This window comes from Homo sapiens, chromosome 2 (genome assembly GCF_000001405.40).
Source record: "Homo sapiens chromosome 2, GRCh38.p14 Primary Assembly".
Lineage (NCBI taxonomy): Eukaryota > Metazoa > Chordata > Mammalia > Primates > Hominidae > Homo > Homo sapiens.
Window position 1 is genome coordinate 37,993,749 of NC_000002.12, and position 18,832 is coordinate 38,012,580.

Consider the following 18,832-nt stretch of genomic DNA (forward strand, 5'->3'; position numbering starts at 1 on the left):
GTACAATGCCTGGTGGGGGGTGGGGGGGAGATGAACTTAAATAAAATTTATTCAGCACAAGCTTACAGCAGTGAAAATTCATTTTCAGCCTTAACAATTGGGAAGATAGAGTTGAAAGGAGGAAACGCTGCTAAGATTTAAAAGCCGTTTACCCAACCTCACAAGTGTCTGGAGCTTCAATGTACATTACCTGTCTAGACTTAAAAGCTCAAGAAAGAAATTTTAATTCAAAATGGACTCTGATCTTCACACCATAGAGAAATGGCAAAAGCACATGCTAATCCTCTGTAGAGGAAGGTACCTTTAGATAGGCTTTGTCAAACTTTCACAGAAAGTGTCCCAACAATGATGAGTTCACAGTCAAAAATTATAGACTATACAAGGAAACAAGCCAACAGTAATGACAGTCAGCAGAAAACAAAACAAAAAACCAGCAGTGGACCTAAAAAGACTTCAGATTTTGGAAATGTGGGATACAGAATATTTAATATGTAGCTATAATGTGTTTTTTAAAATAAGAGGAATTGGCATCGGATAGATGAGCAGCATGAGCAAAATTCAGTGCTGCTTTCTGAAAATAAACTGTTACGGCCATGTAACAGGACAAGCTAGAAATTTCAGAAGGACTTAACAGAGCTTTTCTCTTCCTCCATGATGTCAGGCAGTCTTTATAACATTACCTATGCTAATTACAGCATGTTGTCCAACACCAATTATAGCCATAAAATTAAATTGAAAAGATGAAAACTAGAAGTGTTTCCACATATGTTTGACTGTTTTCCAGATCACATTTCAATTACTTAACAAAAGAAAGTCTGTGAGTGGTAAGCAAGCATATGAAAAGATACTGATCATCAGTAGTCATTAGAAAAATGCAAATTAAAACCACAGAGAAAGACCGCTATTTATTCACTTTTTAAAAGGGCTAAAATTTAAAAGATGACAATACCAAGTACCAGCGAGGATATAGAGCAATTGAAACTCATATGTTTCAATGGGAATATGTGAATAATAAATACATTATCAATTCCTAAGTATTCACCAAGAGAAATAAAAATATATGCTCACACAAAGACTAGCATATGAATTTTCATAGCAGCCTTAGCAGCATAACAACATGCATGACTCTTCAAAGCATTATGCCGAGAAAGCTCACAGAAGACTACCTAATTGCATTGATATGAAACTCTAGAAAAGGCAAATTATAGTCAGATCAGTATTTGTGTAGGGCTAGGAGCAGGTTAAGGAGATTGACAGCAAAGGGGTATGAGAGAACTTTTTAGGATGATGAAAATGTACTATATATTGGTTGTTGTGGCAGTTACAGGATTGTATGCATTTGTCAAAACTCGCTGAACTGTACACTTGTAATGGAGGAAATTTTATTTTATATAGATTATACCTCAGTAAAGCCAATTTAAAAAATACCTAGTGACTGAGAAACATAGAAAGTAAACATGTAGAAAAGTTATATCAAATAGTAACCAAATAAATAATAATCAAACTAAAACATATATATGGTTTCAGGCATCTGTTGGGGGTCCTGGAATATACCCCCTGAAGAAGAGGGGATGACTACTACTACTACTACTACTACTACTACTACTACTACTACTACACACACACACTCATAAATTTTAAGGCAAAAGTATATCTAGAGATAAAGAGTGTAACTATATAGTAAGTTTAATTCACAAGGAAAGTGTTTATAAACTAGTGTGCTTGTAATAACAGCCTCAGAACTATAAAATAAAAATTGACCAAATTATAAGGATAAATGTACAGATCAACCATATACTGGTATTTTCACCCACCCCTTTTAGTAATTAATGGAACAAGAAAACAAAAATGTATTAGTTTGTAAAACATTGGAGCCTCACATTTAATAAGCTTGATCTAATAAATATGAAGCCATGTGGCTAACCATTGGAGAATAGACATCTTTTCAAGCATATGCAGAATGTGTGCTAAAATGGACCATATATGAGGCTGTGAAACTAGTCTTAATACATTTCAAAGAACTGATGTCATGCAGTTTTTCTGATCATAATGCAATTAAACTAAAAATTTAAAAAACAAAATTATAGAAATGATAATGAAAACCCCAAGTAGATGCCATTTTATTCCTATTCTTTTTATAAAAATTGTAAAATCTCAGTATGAGGTGTTTCAAGGATATGTATGGAGCAGCGGGAATTATTAGATTGCTGTGGAAACATAAATCAGCGCGACTACCTTGGGAACCATTGATTAGCATCTTTTAAATTTGACTGTTTGCCTGCCATGTGATCGTGCCTACCCTACAGAGACTCACAAATGTGCTCCACTGTTGAAATGATGAAATATTTCAGTTATTTAAATGACTGAACTTCAGTCATACTCATTATCCTGGATGAAATCTTAGAATCATACCATTAAGTGAAAAAGCAAGTCATATAAGGAAATAAGCAATATATTATTTTTTACAAAGTTCAAAGCGAAGCAAAAATAAGCATACGAATAAGAAAAATTATGTCAAAAAATAAGGAAATAATTTTTAAATTAGAGGATAATGGACTGGGCAAGGTGGCTTATGCCTGTAATCCTAGCACTTTGAGAGTCTGAGGCAGGAGGATCTCTTGAGCCCAGGAGTTCAGGACCAGCCTGGACAATATAGGAAGACCCTGTCTCTACAAAAAATTTAAAAAATTAATTGAGCATGTGATGCACACCTGTAGTTCCAACTGTTCAGGAGGCTGAAGTGGGAGGATTGTTGAGCCCAGGAGGTCGAGGCTGCAGTGAGCCATGATCGTGCCGCTGTACGGTATGATCCAGCCTGAGCAACAAGGTGAGACATTGCCAAAAAAAAAAAAGAAAAAAAAAAAAAAAAAGAGGATATTGGCTACCAAGGAATCTAGGTGATGGGACTGAGAAGGAAGATAATTTATGGGGTTGGACAAGCATCAACTGGGTCAATACCCTTTTAAGTGTTCATTTTTGAGCCAGTTTAATCTTTTAGAATGAACATCTAATATTTATATTTGGGGAAAGAGCAAAACTTTTTAGAAGAAAGCAAAAAAATCAGTGGTAATATGAAATTTAGTTTTGGTGGTTACTGATTTTTTAAAAAATCTTCGGGATTGTAAATATGTATAGTGGGTCCCCATTCCCTGCTCCTTCTGGCTTGAGGATCCCTATTCTATTTACATATCTGAGATGCTACCTCTGGGTCAGGAGGCCAGTTGGCAGCATGGAGTAGGCAGGAGGAGAGCAAAGGCGGAGTCTTGTAGCCCCTGTGTGCTGTACGAAGAGATACACCGTAGTTACCTCAGAATCCAGAATCAGATGAACAAACGGGATCAGCATTATTTCCCACCCCACCCCTTTTTCCTCTGATTTGACACAAATCTTCTTATCCAGAGTATTTCAGGTTGGTTTTGAAACCAGTGCTTCTGGACCCCATGGTTCTTTAGAATTGTGAAAAAGGAAGGTAAAATATTAACATGAATACCATGAGGGTGGTATCTCTAATATATATTATTTATGGATATATGTTTTCATTTGTATATGTTATATCTATACACACACACACGTATATACACATAACACACACACGTCTAACTGGGGAGAGATAATCCATTCAAAAGGTGAACAACTTTCTAAGAGTGATGTTGTTGTGTATTTGCAGGTCTCAAAACTGAGCTGGATTGAGAAAAAAATGGCTGCTACTCTGTTTGGAAAAATACCATCTTCAACTGTACAAGAAGCTTTACACAATTTCCTTAAGGTACATTTTGTGTATCCATTATTTTAGTGTCAGACTGATTACCATCTGCACCAATCCCTGCTGCCGTTGTCAAGGAAATCTTTTCTCCATGTGGAGCCTCAGTTTGAATCCTGGTTTTGGCATGTTCTGTTTTAAGCCCCTCATAATGCAAGTTATTAATATGTTTTAAGTCTAAACTCCTTAGAACAACTAGTTATGCCCTAGGTTCTAGGAATTACAAACTACTTTTTAAAAATAACCCAGCAGCCTAAATGAAGGTTTAGGTTTGACAGCTCTTACTGCTAAGTCCAAGAACAGCTCTCTGAGTCACTTGAGCATGTGCAGAAACAGTCACGCCCTGATGGTTAAACTTAGTCCCAGTCCTCCTGATTAGCCTAACATAGAACCAGTTTAATCTTAAGGAAATAAAAGTGCTAAAGGAAGAGTTATTTTAAAAGCTAACTCCTAAAGTTGCAGACATTTCTCTGGAAGATTCTTGGGGTATCAGACCAAATCAGTATTCTCAATCCTGTCTTAAAATGTATAATCGCTGTACTATACAACTCTAAGCAGTAATATATGTGTGTGTGAGCTCACATGTAAATGTATAATATAGCCACCCATATAATCAACTTCCTGTGGGGGTAATAATCCCTTTACCTTTCTCTGGAACCAGTTTCAAAATTTTATAGTTACTAAATGTGTTTTCCTTCCCAACCTACCTACTTCAAGTTTACAAAAATACAGACAAGGCTGCATGCAGTGGCTCACCTCTGTAATCCCAACACTTTGGAAGGCCGAGGTAGGAGGATTGCTTGAGGCCAGGAGTTTGAGACCAGCCTGGGCAACATAGCAACATGCCATCTCTACAAAAAAATAAAAAAATTTGCTGGGCATGGTGGCATAACAACAGTCCCAGCTACTCAGGAGACTGAGGCAGGAGAATCACTTGAGCCCAGTAGTTCAAGGCCGCAGTGAGCCATGATCACACCACTGCACTCCAGCCTGACCAAAAGAGCATGACCTTATCTCAAAAATAATAATAATAAACGTCTTGTACATGCTAATATTTGTGCTGTATTTCAGGGAGCAGTTTTGTAGAACTGAGAGGGAATTTGTAGATCATGTAGTCTAGGTTTCTTCTCACTTTCTATCTCTCACCCCCAATGGCCAGTGGCTGCCTCAAGTGAAAAAATAAGTGTCCTGAAATCAAGCACAAGCCCAGCAGAAAAGAGTTCAAAAAATAAAAAAGAAACGGGCTGTACATTTCTTATTTTTTATGTAATGTGATCCCTTTTTTTGTTGTATAAAAAGGGAGTCAATACCTCAGGAACTTAATTTGTTGCATTTCACACAATGACAATCAAAGATTTGATTTAAATATAAGTGAAGGCTAAGACTGTATCACTCCCATTTCTTCACCCTTTTCCTACCACTGAAAATTAGTTCCCTCTTTTTAAATTGTATAAGAATGTAGATTATGATCTATTTAAGATAAAATATTTATATAAAAGATGCCACATTAACTAGCAAAAATGTTATCTGTACTCAAAACTCATTTCCTCATAATATCAAAGTTATAATTGAGGAGCAGGTTTTCAGAACACTGTAGAAAAGTTCTTGAGATGCTAATGTGCCTGAAATAATACACAGATGAAATCAAAAGTGGTAAGTAGCACAATAATGCTGAGGTAAAGAATGCAAATTTCGGAACCAGACTACCTGGTTAAATCTCAGCTCTACCACTTACCAGCTGATTAACACTGCGCAAATTGCTTAACCTCTCTCTCAGTTTCATCAATAACATGGAGATAATAGTACTTACCTCATAGTGGTGTTGTAAGGATTATCTACATTCTTACAAGTAAATTGCTTAGAGTGTGCCTAGCACCCAGTAAGTCCTCAGCAAAAACTCACGGAATTTTAATTTCATTAAAATTTAAACACCTCAGCAAACCATCTTGGGGAGCCCCGCATTAGGTCATTACTTAGACTTTAGTCTCAAAATGCCTTCCATGTTGTTTGTCAAAGAAAAGAGAGGAGGCATCAGGAATGCTTCTTGCCATATTTACTAGAACAGCTGAGAGGACTGAGGGGTCTGGAGTGCTGAGGCTAAGGCTGTGGTGGAACTAAGAAATCTGGGAAGTGGAGGAGATGAAAGGGAAACAGCACAGACCCTGGCTCCCACACCCAGGAGAGTCTGCAACCCCCGGGTCCTACAACACAGGAGGCCGTGTTGTTGGTACCCAGACTGCCCCGAATCCACCCCTCCAAAGAGCGTTCACAGGGGCCAGGAATGTGTCTCTAGAGCCATCCAGCTGGATCCCGTAGAGGTTGAGAACACTAGGTTTGGAGTTGACAAGTGAAGTTGAGACCTGAGCCTTTCCTGTCTGAATGACCTGGACACACATTTCCTTAGTTCTCCCACTCTCAAATTCTTCATCCGTGAAATGGCCATAATAATACCTACTTTGTACAGTTTTTGTGAAGGTTACAGAAAATAATATATTTTATATTCTTACCCCAGGGTCTAACATGTTAAATGTTCTAACTAAAAATCAATGTTAGCTACTATTGTTTTGCTATTATAGCAGGGGAAAATTGGTCCTCCACAGCCTCAAAGCATCTAGGGAGGTGGTTTAGACACCTGTAGGAGTCATCTGTGAATCCCCTGGGGAAATTCTTTCAAACTATAGCATGCTTCCCACCTCATCCAAAATTCTGGCATGATTCCCTAGGGCAGTGGTTCTCAACCTTGGCTGTGCATTGCAGTCATCTGAGGCACCTTACAAAATGGCAGCCCAGGCCATGACCCAGACTCATTGTTTCAGAACCTCTGGGTATCTTGAAGTATAGTTTATAAGCAATAAATTGTACCCATTTTAAGTGTACAGTTCAGTGAAGTTTGACAAACTTATATACCTATGTAACCACCACTGTAACCACCACCATTTCAAGATAGCATTTTCATCATCCTAGAGAGTTTTCTTTGCCTCTTTGCTGTCAATTTCCCCCATCTCCTGCCCCAAGTAACCACTGATCTGCTTTCTATCACTATAAATTAGTTTTGCCCATTCTAAAATTTAATATAAATGGAATCATACAACATGTACTTTTGTGTATATCTGGCTTTTACTCAGCATACTGTTTTGAGATTCATTCATTTTATTGAGTGTATCAGCAGCTCCTTTTCATTGCTAAGTAATATTCCATTATATGGATATACCATAATTTGTTTATGTGTTAACTTACTGATAGACATTTGAGTTGTTTCTGGTTTGATGCTATTTTGCATAAAGCTTCTGTGAACATTCAAATGCAAGTTTGGTATTGACATATTTTATTTCTCTTGGATAAGAACCTAGGGGTGGAATTGTTGTGTCATATGGTATGTGCTTTTAAACGTTGATCAGTGTTTTTAAAGATCATAAAACTATTGATTCCAATGGCAGCTGCTGGCATGGCTGGAAACCACTGGATCAGAGGATGGGTGTGTGTAGTAAATGACAGGTGTGGCAATGTTGGGAGACAGGCTACCCTGATTGCACTTATTGTTTGCAGTCATATGATCCCTGAGTCTGTACTAGTGGCTTCCCCAGCTGCAGAACTCTTGGCTGTGTCCTGATATGGTATAAGGCTGCTGCTTGAGCTTATAAGATGTTTTAAAGAAGAGCTAATTTGTTCAACAGTGTTTATTAAGCACATAACTAGTGCCAAACATGGCATCAAATACTGGGAACACAGAAATGACCAACAAAGTTCCTACCTTCAGGGAACTTGGATAGCCAAGACAAATTAAATATGTATAATATTCTTTGCCAGGTGTTATGATAAAGAGTGTTCTAAGGGCCTTTCTAGAAACTGCCTCATCATTGGAACATTACATTGAAACATTAGCTAATGCTACCCTCCTTGTAATTCATCCAAGTCCTTTTGTGAAAGGTCAGAATCTGTTTTACCTTAGGAATTCAGTGTTGTTAGTTGCCTGTCTGTGTTCTGTTGGGCTTCAGATTTTTAAACCATGAGAACAAAAAGAGATGTTCTGATTTATAATCACTTTAGTTAACTAAACATGGGTGTTAAGCTATATATCCAGAATTAGAATGCCAGCATTAAAGAAATAAGCTGTTTACATGCATACACTGGGGCAAGTTATCCCCAATATGGGATTCGGACAGAGCTGAGGCAACTACCAGGCATAGAAGAAGGTATAATTGAATAAAGTTCAGTCTTAAGTCCCTCTTATTAGAATGGCTCAAGAAATGCACTTACCAAACTAGAAGACTTGAAATGGAAATGATTAGACAAGAGAGAAACAGGAGAACCAGAATCCATGGATAAGAGAGAAGAAGCAGGAAAACCAGAATCCATTGATTAAGAGAGAAGAAGCAGAAGAACCAGAATCCATGGATGCCACTGTAGGATGGTCAAGGCTCTGGCTTGATTGAAATTGACAACTTCCTTTAATTTGTTGGTAGCTTTGCTGTCTCTCCAGCAGGTTTCATTCCACGCCCAGACACTGTTAACCTACCTGGTCTTAAAGATTTATACCGAGTCTGGCTCCCTACCCTAGTAGGAGATTTTTGTCCTCCTTCTTCTAGAACCCTTCTCTTTTGGATTCTGTACAGAATAAAATGTCTTTTACAAGGGATGTGCCCTTATAAGGTGTTGGACCACTTCTTAGCACCCTGATTTGGATTTATCTTCATTAGTATCTATCTTTAAAAATATATATATTATTTTGACTCAGCAATTCAACTTCTGGGAATCTCCCTTACAGGAATAAACACACATGTACACAAGCATATGGGAAAAAGTATGTTAATTGGTTATTAGTAGTAATAATGAAAACGGAGAATAAATCAAGATGTCCAATGGAGAATGCTTCCTTTCATTATGATTCATGCAGAATATGAAATACAGCTATTGAAAATGATGAAGTATATCTATGCTGACATGAAAATGTGTTTGTAATATGGGAAAAAAAGTCTGGAGCCAATATGTAGATTTTCTATCAATGTGCACATTTATTCAGTTTTATGTATTTGTGTTTTTCTAGCTTTACTGAGGTATAATTGACAAGAATTATATATCTGTAAATTATATATATGTAAAATGGTTCCATTTTGTTTTGTTTTCAAAAGCCAAATATCTGTTTTTTTATTTGCCTATACTTGGCAAAGAGTCTGGTAGGTTACATGTCAAACGGCTGATAGTGGTTACCTCTGTGGCATGAGCCTGAAGTTGAGAATAAAACTGGGAAGGAGAAACTTTCACTTTTTAATTTTGGAAATGTCTGAATTGTTCATATCTTGTGAAACAAGGATATTTTTGTAAATTTTTAAAAGTATCCTCTTCTCTTGTGTTCTACCCCCCTCTAGGGTGGAGACTCCAGGTTGTAAGCTTGCTTGCCTGGGCCTTCAAAACAGCGAAAGCTGACTCTGAAGCAAGACTGACTTAGGTTCTAAGAAGAGCTGTCTAGTGACAATACCATACCTGAAAGAATTCTTATTTCCCAGAGATAAAGGAACTGGTACATAAAAGATCAGTAGATAGGAGAAAAGTACCTTTATAATACCTACTCATGTCTACTACCTGAACTGGATGTTTCAAGGATCTGTCTTTCCTTTAAAAGTCCATGATTTGATGGACTTCAGATATTATTTAACTCCTGTGGAATATGTTGAAATCACAAGAAATCAAATATTAATCTAGTGGAAGATGCTTGCCATGGGGTACCAGTCATGCTCTACTCTTATTTTCTAAATAGATAGTGAGGCTGGGAGTGGTGGCTCATGCCTGTAATCCCAGCACTTTGGGAGGTCGAGGAGGGTGGATCACCTGAGGTCAGGAGTTTGAGACAAGCCTGGACAATATGGTGAAATCCCATCTCTATTAAAAATACAAAAATTAGCCAGGCATGGTGGCAGGTACCTGTAATCCCAGCTACTCTGGAGGCCAAGGCAGGAGAATTGCCTGAACCTGGGAGGCGGAGGTTGCAGTGAGCTGAGATCGCGCCACTGCACTCCAGCCTGGGCAACAAAGCAAGACCTGATAGATAGATAGATAGATAGATAGATAGATAGATAGATAGATAGATAGATAGATAGGCAGACAGACAGACAGACAGACAAATATATAGGACTTGTCCTAGGAATATCACCAGTTGTTTTTGTTCTTGAAAAGAAAAGGATAGAGAAAGAAGACTGAGGAAAATGATTATGTAAAGAAATCTGAAAACCATAAAGTATCTCATTGCTTTGTAAGCTTTATGACCATGGTAATCAATTTTATTTTAATGGCTAAATGCAAAGGCTATGTTTCCACCCAAAAGATACTTAAACTGATCAAGTGATTCAAATGTGAAACAACCAACCTAAATTCTTAGGGCAGTTTGGTTCATAATATTTGATTTATTTAAATATATTCTCTTCACTTGTGGTTACTGTTATTTTAATATTGCCCTGTTATTCTCTCATGTTTTTCTCTCAAATCAGGCTGAAGAACTATGCCCTGGTTATTCTAATCCCAATTACATGTACTTAGCAAAGGTAATGAAGACCACTGTTCTGCTTTAAGATCACTTTGAACCTATCGCATAAAAACGGATTATGTTTAATATTGGTTATTTCTCATTTCCAGTGTTATACTGATCTTGAGGAAAACCAGAATGCTTTGAAGTTCTGTAATTTGGCTTTATTGCTTCCTACTGTTACCAAAGAGGTAAGTCCAGAAAGTGACAGTGAGTGCTGTTGTCTTGTTAGTACTATTCGAGCTCAAAACAGGAATAACTCGCTTAGATACATTTGTAGTTTTCTCTATTCAATTTTATGTATTTATTTTTATTCTACCTTTATTGAAGTATAATTGACAAAAACTATATGTATACAGCATGATGTTTTGATAGACATATACATTATGAAATGACTACCACAATCAAGCTAATTAACACATTCATCGCCTCACATAGTTACTTTTTTTATTGTTGAGAACATTTGAGATCCACTCTCTTAGCAAATTTCAAATATACAATACAGTATTATTAACTACAGTCACATTGCTGTCCTTTAAATCTCCAGAACCTATTCATCCTGCATAACTGAAACTGTGTACCCTAGACCAATATCTCCCCATTTCTCCCACTCTTCCAGCCCCTGACAGCCACCCTTCTACTCTCTCCTTCTATGATGGAGTTTTCTTTCTTTTTTTTTTTATTATACTTTAAGTTTTAGGGTACATGTGCACAACATGCAGGCTTGTTACATATGTATATATGTGCCATGTTGGTGTGCTGCACCCATTAACTCGTCATTTAACATTAGGTATATATATCTCCTAATGCTATCCCTCCCCACTCCCCCCACCCCACAACAGGCCCCGGTGTGTGATGTTCCCGTTCCTGCGTCCATGTGTTCTGATTGTTCAGTTCCCACCTATGAGTGACAACATGTGGTGTTTGGTTTTTTGTCCTTGCGATAGTTTGCTGAGAATGATGGTTTCCAGCTTCATCCATGTCCCTACAAAGGACATGAACTCATCATTTTTTATGGCTGCATAGTATTCCATGGTGTATATGTGCCACATTTTCTTAATCCAGTCTATCATTGTTGGACATTTGGGTTGGTTCCAAGTCTTTGCTATTGTGAATAGTGCTGCTATAAACATACGTGTGCATGTGTCTTTAAAGCAGCATGATTTATAATCTTTGGCTATATACCCAGTAATGGGTCAAATGGCTGGGTCAAATGGTATTTCTAGTTCTAGATCCCTGAGGAATCGCCACACTGACTTGCACAACGGTTGAACTAGTTTACAGTCCCACCAACAGTGTAAAAGTGTTCCTATTTCTCCACATCCTCTCCAGCACCTGTTGTTTCCTGACTTTTTAATGATTGCCATTCTAACTGGTGTGAGATGGTGTCTCATTGTGGTTTTGATTTGCATTTCTCTGATGGCCAGTGATGATGAGCATTTTTTCATGTGTCTTTTGTCTGCATAAATGTCTTCTTTTGAGAAGTGTCTGTTCATATCCTGTGCCCACTTTTTGATGGGGTTGTTTGTTTTTTTCTTGTAAATTTGTTTGAGTTCATTGTAGATTCTGGATATTAGCCCTTTGTCAGATGAGTAGATTGCAAAAATTTTCTCCCATTCTGTAGGTTGCCGGTTCACTCTGTTGGTAGGTTCTTTTGCTGTGCAGAAGCTCTTTAGTTTCATTAGATCCCATTTGTGAATTTTGGCTTTTGTTGCCATTGCTTTTGGTGTTTTACACATGAAGTCCTTGCCCATGCCTATGTCCTGAATGGTAGTGCCTAAGTTTTCTCCTAGGGTTTTTATGGTTTTAGGTCTAACATGTAAGTCTTTAATCCATCTTGAATTAATTTTTGTATAAGGTGTAAGGAAGGGATCCAGTTTCAGCTTTCTACATATGGCTAGCCAGTTTTCCCAGCACCATTTATTAAGTAGGGGATCGTTTCCCCATTTCTTGTTTTTGTCAGGTTTGTCAAAGATCAGATGGTTGTAGATATGCAGCATTATTTCTGAGGGCTCTGTTCTGTTCCATTGGTCTATATCTCTGTTTTGGTACCAGTACCATGCTGTTTTGGTGACTGTAGCCTTGTAGTATAGTTTGAAGTCTGGTAGCATGATGCCTCCAGCTTTGTTCTTTTGGCTTAGGATTGACTTGGCAATGTGGGCTCTTTTTTGGTTCCATATGAACTTTAAGGTAGTTTTTTCCAATTCTGTGAAGAAAGTCATTGGTAGCTTGATGGGGATGACATTGAATCTATAAATTACCTTGGTCAGTATGGCCATTTTCACGATATTGATTCTTCCTACCCATGAGCATGGAATGTTCTTCCATTTGTTTGTATCCTCTTTTATTTCATTGGAGCAGTGGTTTGTAGTTCTCCTCGAAGAGGTCCTTCACGTCCCTTGTAAGTTGAATTCCTAGGTATTTTATTCTCTTTGAAGCAATTGTGAATGGGAGTTCACTCATGATTTGGCTCTCTGTTTGTCTGTTATTGGTGTATAAGAATGCTTGTGATTTTTGCACATTGATTTTGTATCCTGAGACTTTGCTGAAGTTGCCTATCAGCTTAAGGAGATTTTGGGCTGAGATGATGGGATTTTCTAGATATACAATCATGTCATCTGCAAACAGGGACAATTTGACTTCCTCTTTTCCTAATTGAATACCCTTTATTTCCTTCTCCTGCCTGATTGCCCTGGCCAGTACTTCCAATACTATGTTGAATAGGAGTGGTGAGAGAGGGCATCCCTGTCTTGTGCCAGTTTTCAAAGGGAATGCTTCCAGTTTTTGCCCATTCCGTACGATACTGGCTGTGGGTTTGTCATAGATAGCTCTTATTATTTTGAGATACGTCCCATCAATACCTAATTTATTAAGGGTTTTTAGCATGAAGTGTTGTTGAATTTTGTCAAAGGCCTTTTCTGCATCTATTGAGATAATCATATGTTTTTTGTCCTTGGTTCTGTTTATATGCTGGATTACATTTATTGATCTACGTATGTTGAACCAGCCTTGCATCCCAGGGATGAAGCCCACTTGATGATGGTGGATAAGCTTTTTGATGTGCTGCTGGATTCGGTTTGCCAGTATTTTATTGAGGATTTTTGCATCGATGTTCATCAGGGATATTAGTCTAAAATTCTCTTTTTTTGTTGTATCTCTGCCAGGCTTTGGTATCAGGATGATGCTGGCCTCATAAAATGAGTTAGGGAGGATTCCCTCTTTTTCTGTTGATTGGAATAGTTTCAGAAGGAATGGTACCAGCTCCTCCTTGTACCTCTGGTAGAATTTGGCTGTGAATCCATCTGGTCCTGGACTTCTTTTGGTTGGTAAGCTATTAATTATTGCCTCGATTTCAGAGCCTGTTATTGGTCTGTTAAGAGATTCAACTTCTTCCTGGTTTAGTCTTGGGAGGGTGTAAGTGTCGAGGAATTTATCCATGTCTTCCAGATTTTCTAGTTTATTTGCGTAGAGGTGTTTATAGTATTCTCTGATGGTAGTTTGTATTTCTGTGGGATCGGTGGTGATATCCCCTTTATCATTTTTTATTGCGTCTATTTGATTCTTCTGTCTTTTCTTCTTTATTAGTCTTCCTAGAGGTCTATCAATTTTGTTGATCTTTTCAAAAAATCAGCTCCTGGATTCATTGATTTTTTGAAGGGTTTTTTATGTCTCTGTTTCCTTCAGTTCTGCTCTGATCTTAGTTATTTCTTGCCTTCTGCTAGCTTTTGAATGTGTTTACTCTTGCTTCTCTAGTTCTTTTAATTGTGATGTTAGGGTGTCAATCTTAGATCTTTCCTGCTTTCTCTGGTGGGCATTTAGTGCTATAAATTTCCCTCTACACACTGCTTCGAATGTGTCCCAGAGATTCTGATATGTTGTATCTTTGTTCTCGTTGGTTTCAAAGAACATCTTTATTTCTGCCTTCATTTCTTTATGTACCCAGTAGTCACTCAGGAGCAGGTTGTTCAGTTTCCATGTATTTGAGGGGTTTTGAGTGAGTTTCTTAATCCTGAGTTCTAGTTTGATTGCACTGTAGTCTGAGAGACAGTTTGTTATAATTTCTGTTCTTTTACATTTGCCGAGGAGAGCTTTACTTCCAACTGTGTGGTCAATTTTGGAATAAGTGTGGCATGGTGCTAAGAAGAATGTGTATTCTGTTGATTTGGGGTGGAGAGTTCTGTAGATGTCTGTTAGGTCCGCTTGGTGCAGAGCTGAGTTCAATTCCTGGGTATCCTTGTTAACTTTCTGTCTCGTTGATCTGTCTAATGTTGACAGTGGGGTGTTAAAGTCTCCCATTATTACTGTGTGGGAGTCTAAGTCTTTTTGTAAGTCACTAAGGACTTGTTTTATGAATCTGGGTGCTCCTGTATTGGGTGCATATATATTTAGGATAGTTTGCTCTCCTTGTTGAATTGATCCCTTTACCATTATGTAATGGCCTTCTTTGTCTCTTTTGATCTTTGTTGGTTTAAAGTCTGTTTTCTCAGAGACTGGGATTGCAACCCCTGCCTTTTTTTGTTTTCCATTTGCTTGGTAGATCTTCCTCCATCCCTTTATTTTGAGCCTATGTGTGTCTCTGCACGTGAGATGGGTTTCCTGAATACAGCACACTGTTGGGTCTTGACTCTTTATCCAATTGGCCTGTCTGTGTCTTAGTTGGAGCATTTAGCCCATTTACATTTAAAGTTAATATTGTTATGTGTGAATTTGATCCTGTCATTATGATGTTAGCTGGTTATTTCGCTCATTAGCTGATGCAGTTTCTTCCTAGCCTCGATGGTCTTTACAATTTGGCATGTTTTTGCAGTGGCTGGTACCGGTTGTTCCTTTCCATGTTGAGTGCTTCCTTCAGGAGCTCTTTTAGGGCAGGTCTGGTGGTGACAAAATCTCTCAGCATTTGCTCGTCTGTAAGGGATTTTATTTCTCCTTCACTTATGAAGCTTAGTTTGGCTGGATATGAAATTCTGGGTTGAAAATTCTTTTCTTTAAGAATGTGGAATATTGGCCCCCACTCTCTTCTGGCTTGTAGAGTTTCTGCTGAGAGATCAGCTGTTAGTCTGATGGGCTTCCCTTTATGGGTAACCCGTCCTTTCTCTCTGGCTGCCCTTAACATTTTTTCCTTCATTTCAACTTTGGTGAATCTGACAATTACATGTCTTGGAGTTAGTCTTCTCGAGGAGTATCTTTTTGGCGTTCTCTGTATTTCCTGAATTTGAATGTTGGCCTGCTTTGCTAGATTGGGGAAGTTCTCCTGGATGATATCCTGCAGAGTGTTTTCCAACTTGGTTCCATTCTCCCTGTCACATCACTTTCAGGTACACCAATCAGACGTAGATTTGGTCTTTTCACATAGTCCCACATTTCTTGGAGGCTTTGTTCGTTTCTTTTTATTCTTTTTTCTCTACACTTCTCCTCTCGCTTCATTTCATTCATTTGATTTTCCATCACTGATACCCTTTCTTCCAGTTGATCAAATTGGCTACTGAGGCTTGTGCATTTGTCACGTAGTTCTCGTGCCTTGGTTTTCAGCTCCATCAGGTCCTTTAAGGAATTCTCTGCGTTGATTATTCTAGTTAGCCATTCATCTAATTTTTTTTCAAGGTTTTTAACTTCTTTGCCATGGTTTCGAACTTCCTCCTTTAGCTCGGAGTAGTTTGATCGTCTGAAGCCTTCTTCTCTCAACTTGTCAGAGTCATTCTCCGTCCAGCTTTGTTCCGTTGCTGGTGAGGAGCTGCATTCCTTTGGAGGAGGAGAGGCGCTCTGATTTTTAGAGTTTCCAGTTTTTCTGCTCTGTTTTTTCCCCATCTTTGTGGTTTTTTTCTACCTTTGGTCTTTGATGATGGTGACGTACAGATGGGGTTTTGGTGTGGATGTCCTTTCTGTTTATTAGTTTTCCTTCTAACAGTCAGGACCCTCAGCTGCAGGTCTGTTGGAGTTTGCTGGAGGTCCACTCCAGACCCTGTTTGCCTGGGTATCAGCAGCAGAGGCTGCAGAACAGTGGATATTCGTGAGCAGCAAATGTTGCTGCCTGATCGTTCCTCTGGAAGTTTTGTCTCAGAGGAGTACCCGGGCATCTGAGGTGTCAGTCTGCCCTTGCTGGGTGGTGCCTCCCAGTTAGGCTACTCAGGGGTCAGGGACCCACTTGAGGAGGCAGTCTGTCCATTCTCAGATCTCCAGCTGCGTGCTGGGAGAACCACTACTCTCTTCAGTGCTGTCAGACAGGGACATTTAAGTCTGCAGAGGATTCTGCTGCCTTTTGTTTGGCTAAGCCCTGCCCCCAGAGGTGGAGTCTACAGAGGCAGGCAGGCCTCCTTGAGCTGTGGTGGGCTCCACCTAATTCGAGCTTCCTGGCTGCTTTGTTTAGCTACTCAAGCCTCGGCAATGGCTCGCTCCCCTCCCCCAGCCTTGCTGCTGCCTTGCAGTTTGATCTCAGACTGCTGTGCTAGCAATGAGCAAGGCTCCATGGGCATAGGACCCTCCGAGCCAGGAGAGGGATATAATCTCCTGGTGTGCCACTTGCTAAGACCATTGGAAAAGCGCAGTATTAGGGTGGGAGTGACCCGATCTTCCAGGTGCCGTTTGTCACCCCTTTCTTTGACTAGGAAAGGGAATTCCCTTACCCTTTGCACTTCCCAGGTGAGGCAATGTCTTGCCCAGCTTCGGCTCATGCTCGGTGCACTGCAGCCACTGTCCTGCACCCGCTTTCTGACACTCCCCAGTGAGATGCACCCGGTACCTCAGGTGGAAATGCAGAAATCACCCATCTTCTGCATCACTCACGCTCGGAGCTGTAGACTGGAGCTGTTGCTATTCAGCCATCTTGGCTCCACCCCAGAGTTTTCTTTCATACTAAAACCTTTGACTTGGATTTTACATGTACTATAAAGTTTTAAAATTTGCTGTATCTCTGTAAGATAACCTGTCACCAGGAGGCCCCTACCAGTTAAAACATCCTGATCCTTGTTAGATGTAAGACAGCAGGGAGTGAAGCAAGCATAATTCCTTCAGTGGGAAGGAGGGGGCACAGCATAATTCCGGGGAGCTGGAGATTAACTATGTAGGCAGCAAACAAGCTAGACAGGTGGCCCAGCCTAGAGTAAGGGGAGTGACCATGGGTTGCCATCCTCAGTCCTCAATTCACAGCAGGTGTGGCTATCCAAGGCCATGACAAAGATGAAAAATATGTAATAACATGTTCTTGGTTTTTGGACACTGGCCATTAATGAAAAATAAACTATTGCCCTGTCTCTTGCCCTTTGATTCAGTAAGTCAGGATTCTGGGTATGCTTTAAGTTTCAAGCATTCCACAGGGTTAACAACTCAGTCTGCTCCTGTGAGCTGTTGACTGGTGTTGTGGGAACAACAACAAAAAAATAGGTATATATTTTCCTCCTTTTCTCATACCACCAAACACTATCATCCTCTAAATCATTAACAGAAAATAAATGCCTCAGTAAAAAAAACCCTCCTCTTTTTCTGTGTTGGAGCAATACAAGTTCCAATATTTATTGTGATCTGAACTATAAACAAATAAGACACACCTGTTGCCTTCTAGGAGCCTATAGCCTAGAAGGGAATATATGATGTGTGTCCAAATAACTATAGCTCGAAGCAGAAAGCATAAGGTACTAAGAGAAGTACAAATCATCAGTTATGGAAATTTTCAAAAGGGAGAAATTATTTTTACCTAGAAGAGGCCAGGTGGCATCAGAGGTAGACTTTGAAAGATCTGTATAATATGGAGTTGTGGGCAAGTATATTGCAGGTCATGAACAGAGGCACAAAAGTGAGAGAGCAAAGCTCGGTTTGCCTGGAGCAAAAGGAATGTGCCCACTTTCCCCCGGACCACAGATTGTACCAGCCTCCCAGTCATTCTCCTCACAGCTTCCTTGCCTCCCGCCAGGCCACTCTTGACTCCCAGTAGCAGCCCAAGCAACAGATTAAATGTAAACGTCAACATGTCACTTCCCTGCTCAAAACCCTTTGCTGCTGGGATGAGGGTCAGAATTTTTAGCATGTCTTTCAAGGCTCTGACCCAGCTCCTACCAATCTCTCAAGCTTCATATGTTCCCAGCTCCCCTCTCCTCTGCACCACCCAGCCTGCCCTTCACCCTTAGAACATACTGTTCCACTTCCTGAAACACTCCTACCCACCCTCTGCTCCTTCCACTAGCTTTATTCCTTCCTATCCTCCAGGCCTTACCATGGATGCTGTTTCGTCAGGAAAGACTTCCTTGACGCCTGCTGGCAAGAAAGCCCCTATACTTTTCCTTGCTATCATTTCACACAGTTATTATGTCATTATTAATGTGATTGTTCCATGAAAGTAACAACCAGGTTTGTCTCATTCATCACTGTACCCCTAATCCTGTGTAACTGCCTAGCATATAATAAGCACTCAGTAAGTGTTGATAGAAAGAACCAAGGCATTAATATCGTACAAATAAAAATAATAGTGTCAATAGTAATAATAAAGAGGACTCCTAATGAATGTAAGAAGGCTAGACATTGGAAGTATTTCTGTAATAAGCAAAATAGTATGAGCAAATATTTCT

General features: G+C 39.3%; 1 protein-coding gene and 1 long non-coding RNA gene across 19 annotated transcripts in view; one reads left to right on the plus strand and one right to left on the minus strand.

Annotated features, from left to right (window-relative positions):
- Positions 1 to 18,832, plus strand: part of RMDN2 (regulator of microtubule dynamics 2) — a 146,238-nt gene that overhangs the window by 72,848 nt on the left and 54,558 nt on the right. For 17 of the 18 annotated variants that reach the window (XM_047443519.1, XM_047443518.1, NM_001322212.2 and 14 more), the window contains 3 exons: positions 3,668 to 3,766; positions 10,243 to 10,296; positions 10,388 to 10,468. In XM_047443519.1, coding sequence (XP_047299475.1) covers positions 3,668 to 3,766; positions 10,243 to 10,296; positions 10,388 to 10,468 — 234 coding nt within the window. Of the gene's footprint in view, positions 1 to 3,667; positions 3,767 to 9,126; positions 9,279 to 10,242; positions 10,297 to 10,387; positions 10,470 to 18,832 lie in introns of those variants that run through there. The other variant, XR_939668.4, reaches the window with a different exon arrangement.
- The window catches only part of RMDN2-AS1 (RMDN2 antisense RNA 1), an 86,008-nt gene that overhangs the window by 43,415 nt on the left and 23,761 nt on the right, over positions 1 to 18,832 (minus strand). The gene's annotated exons all lie outside the window — the stretch shown is intronic.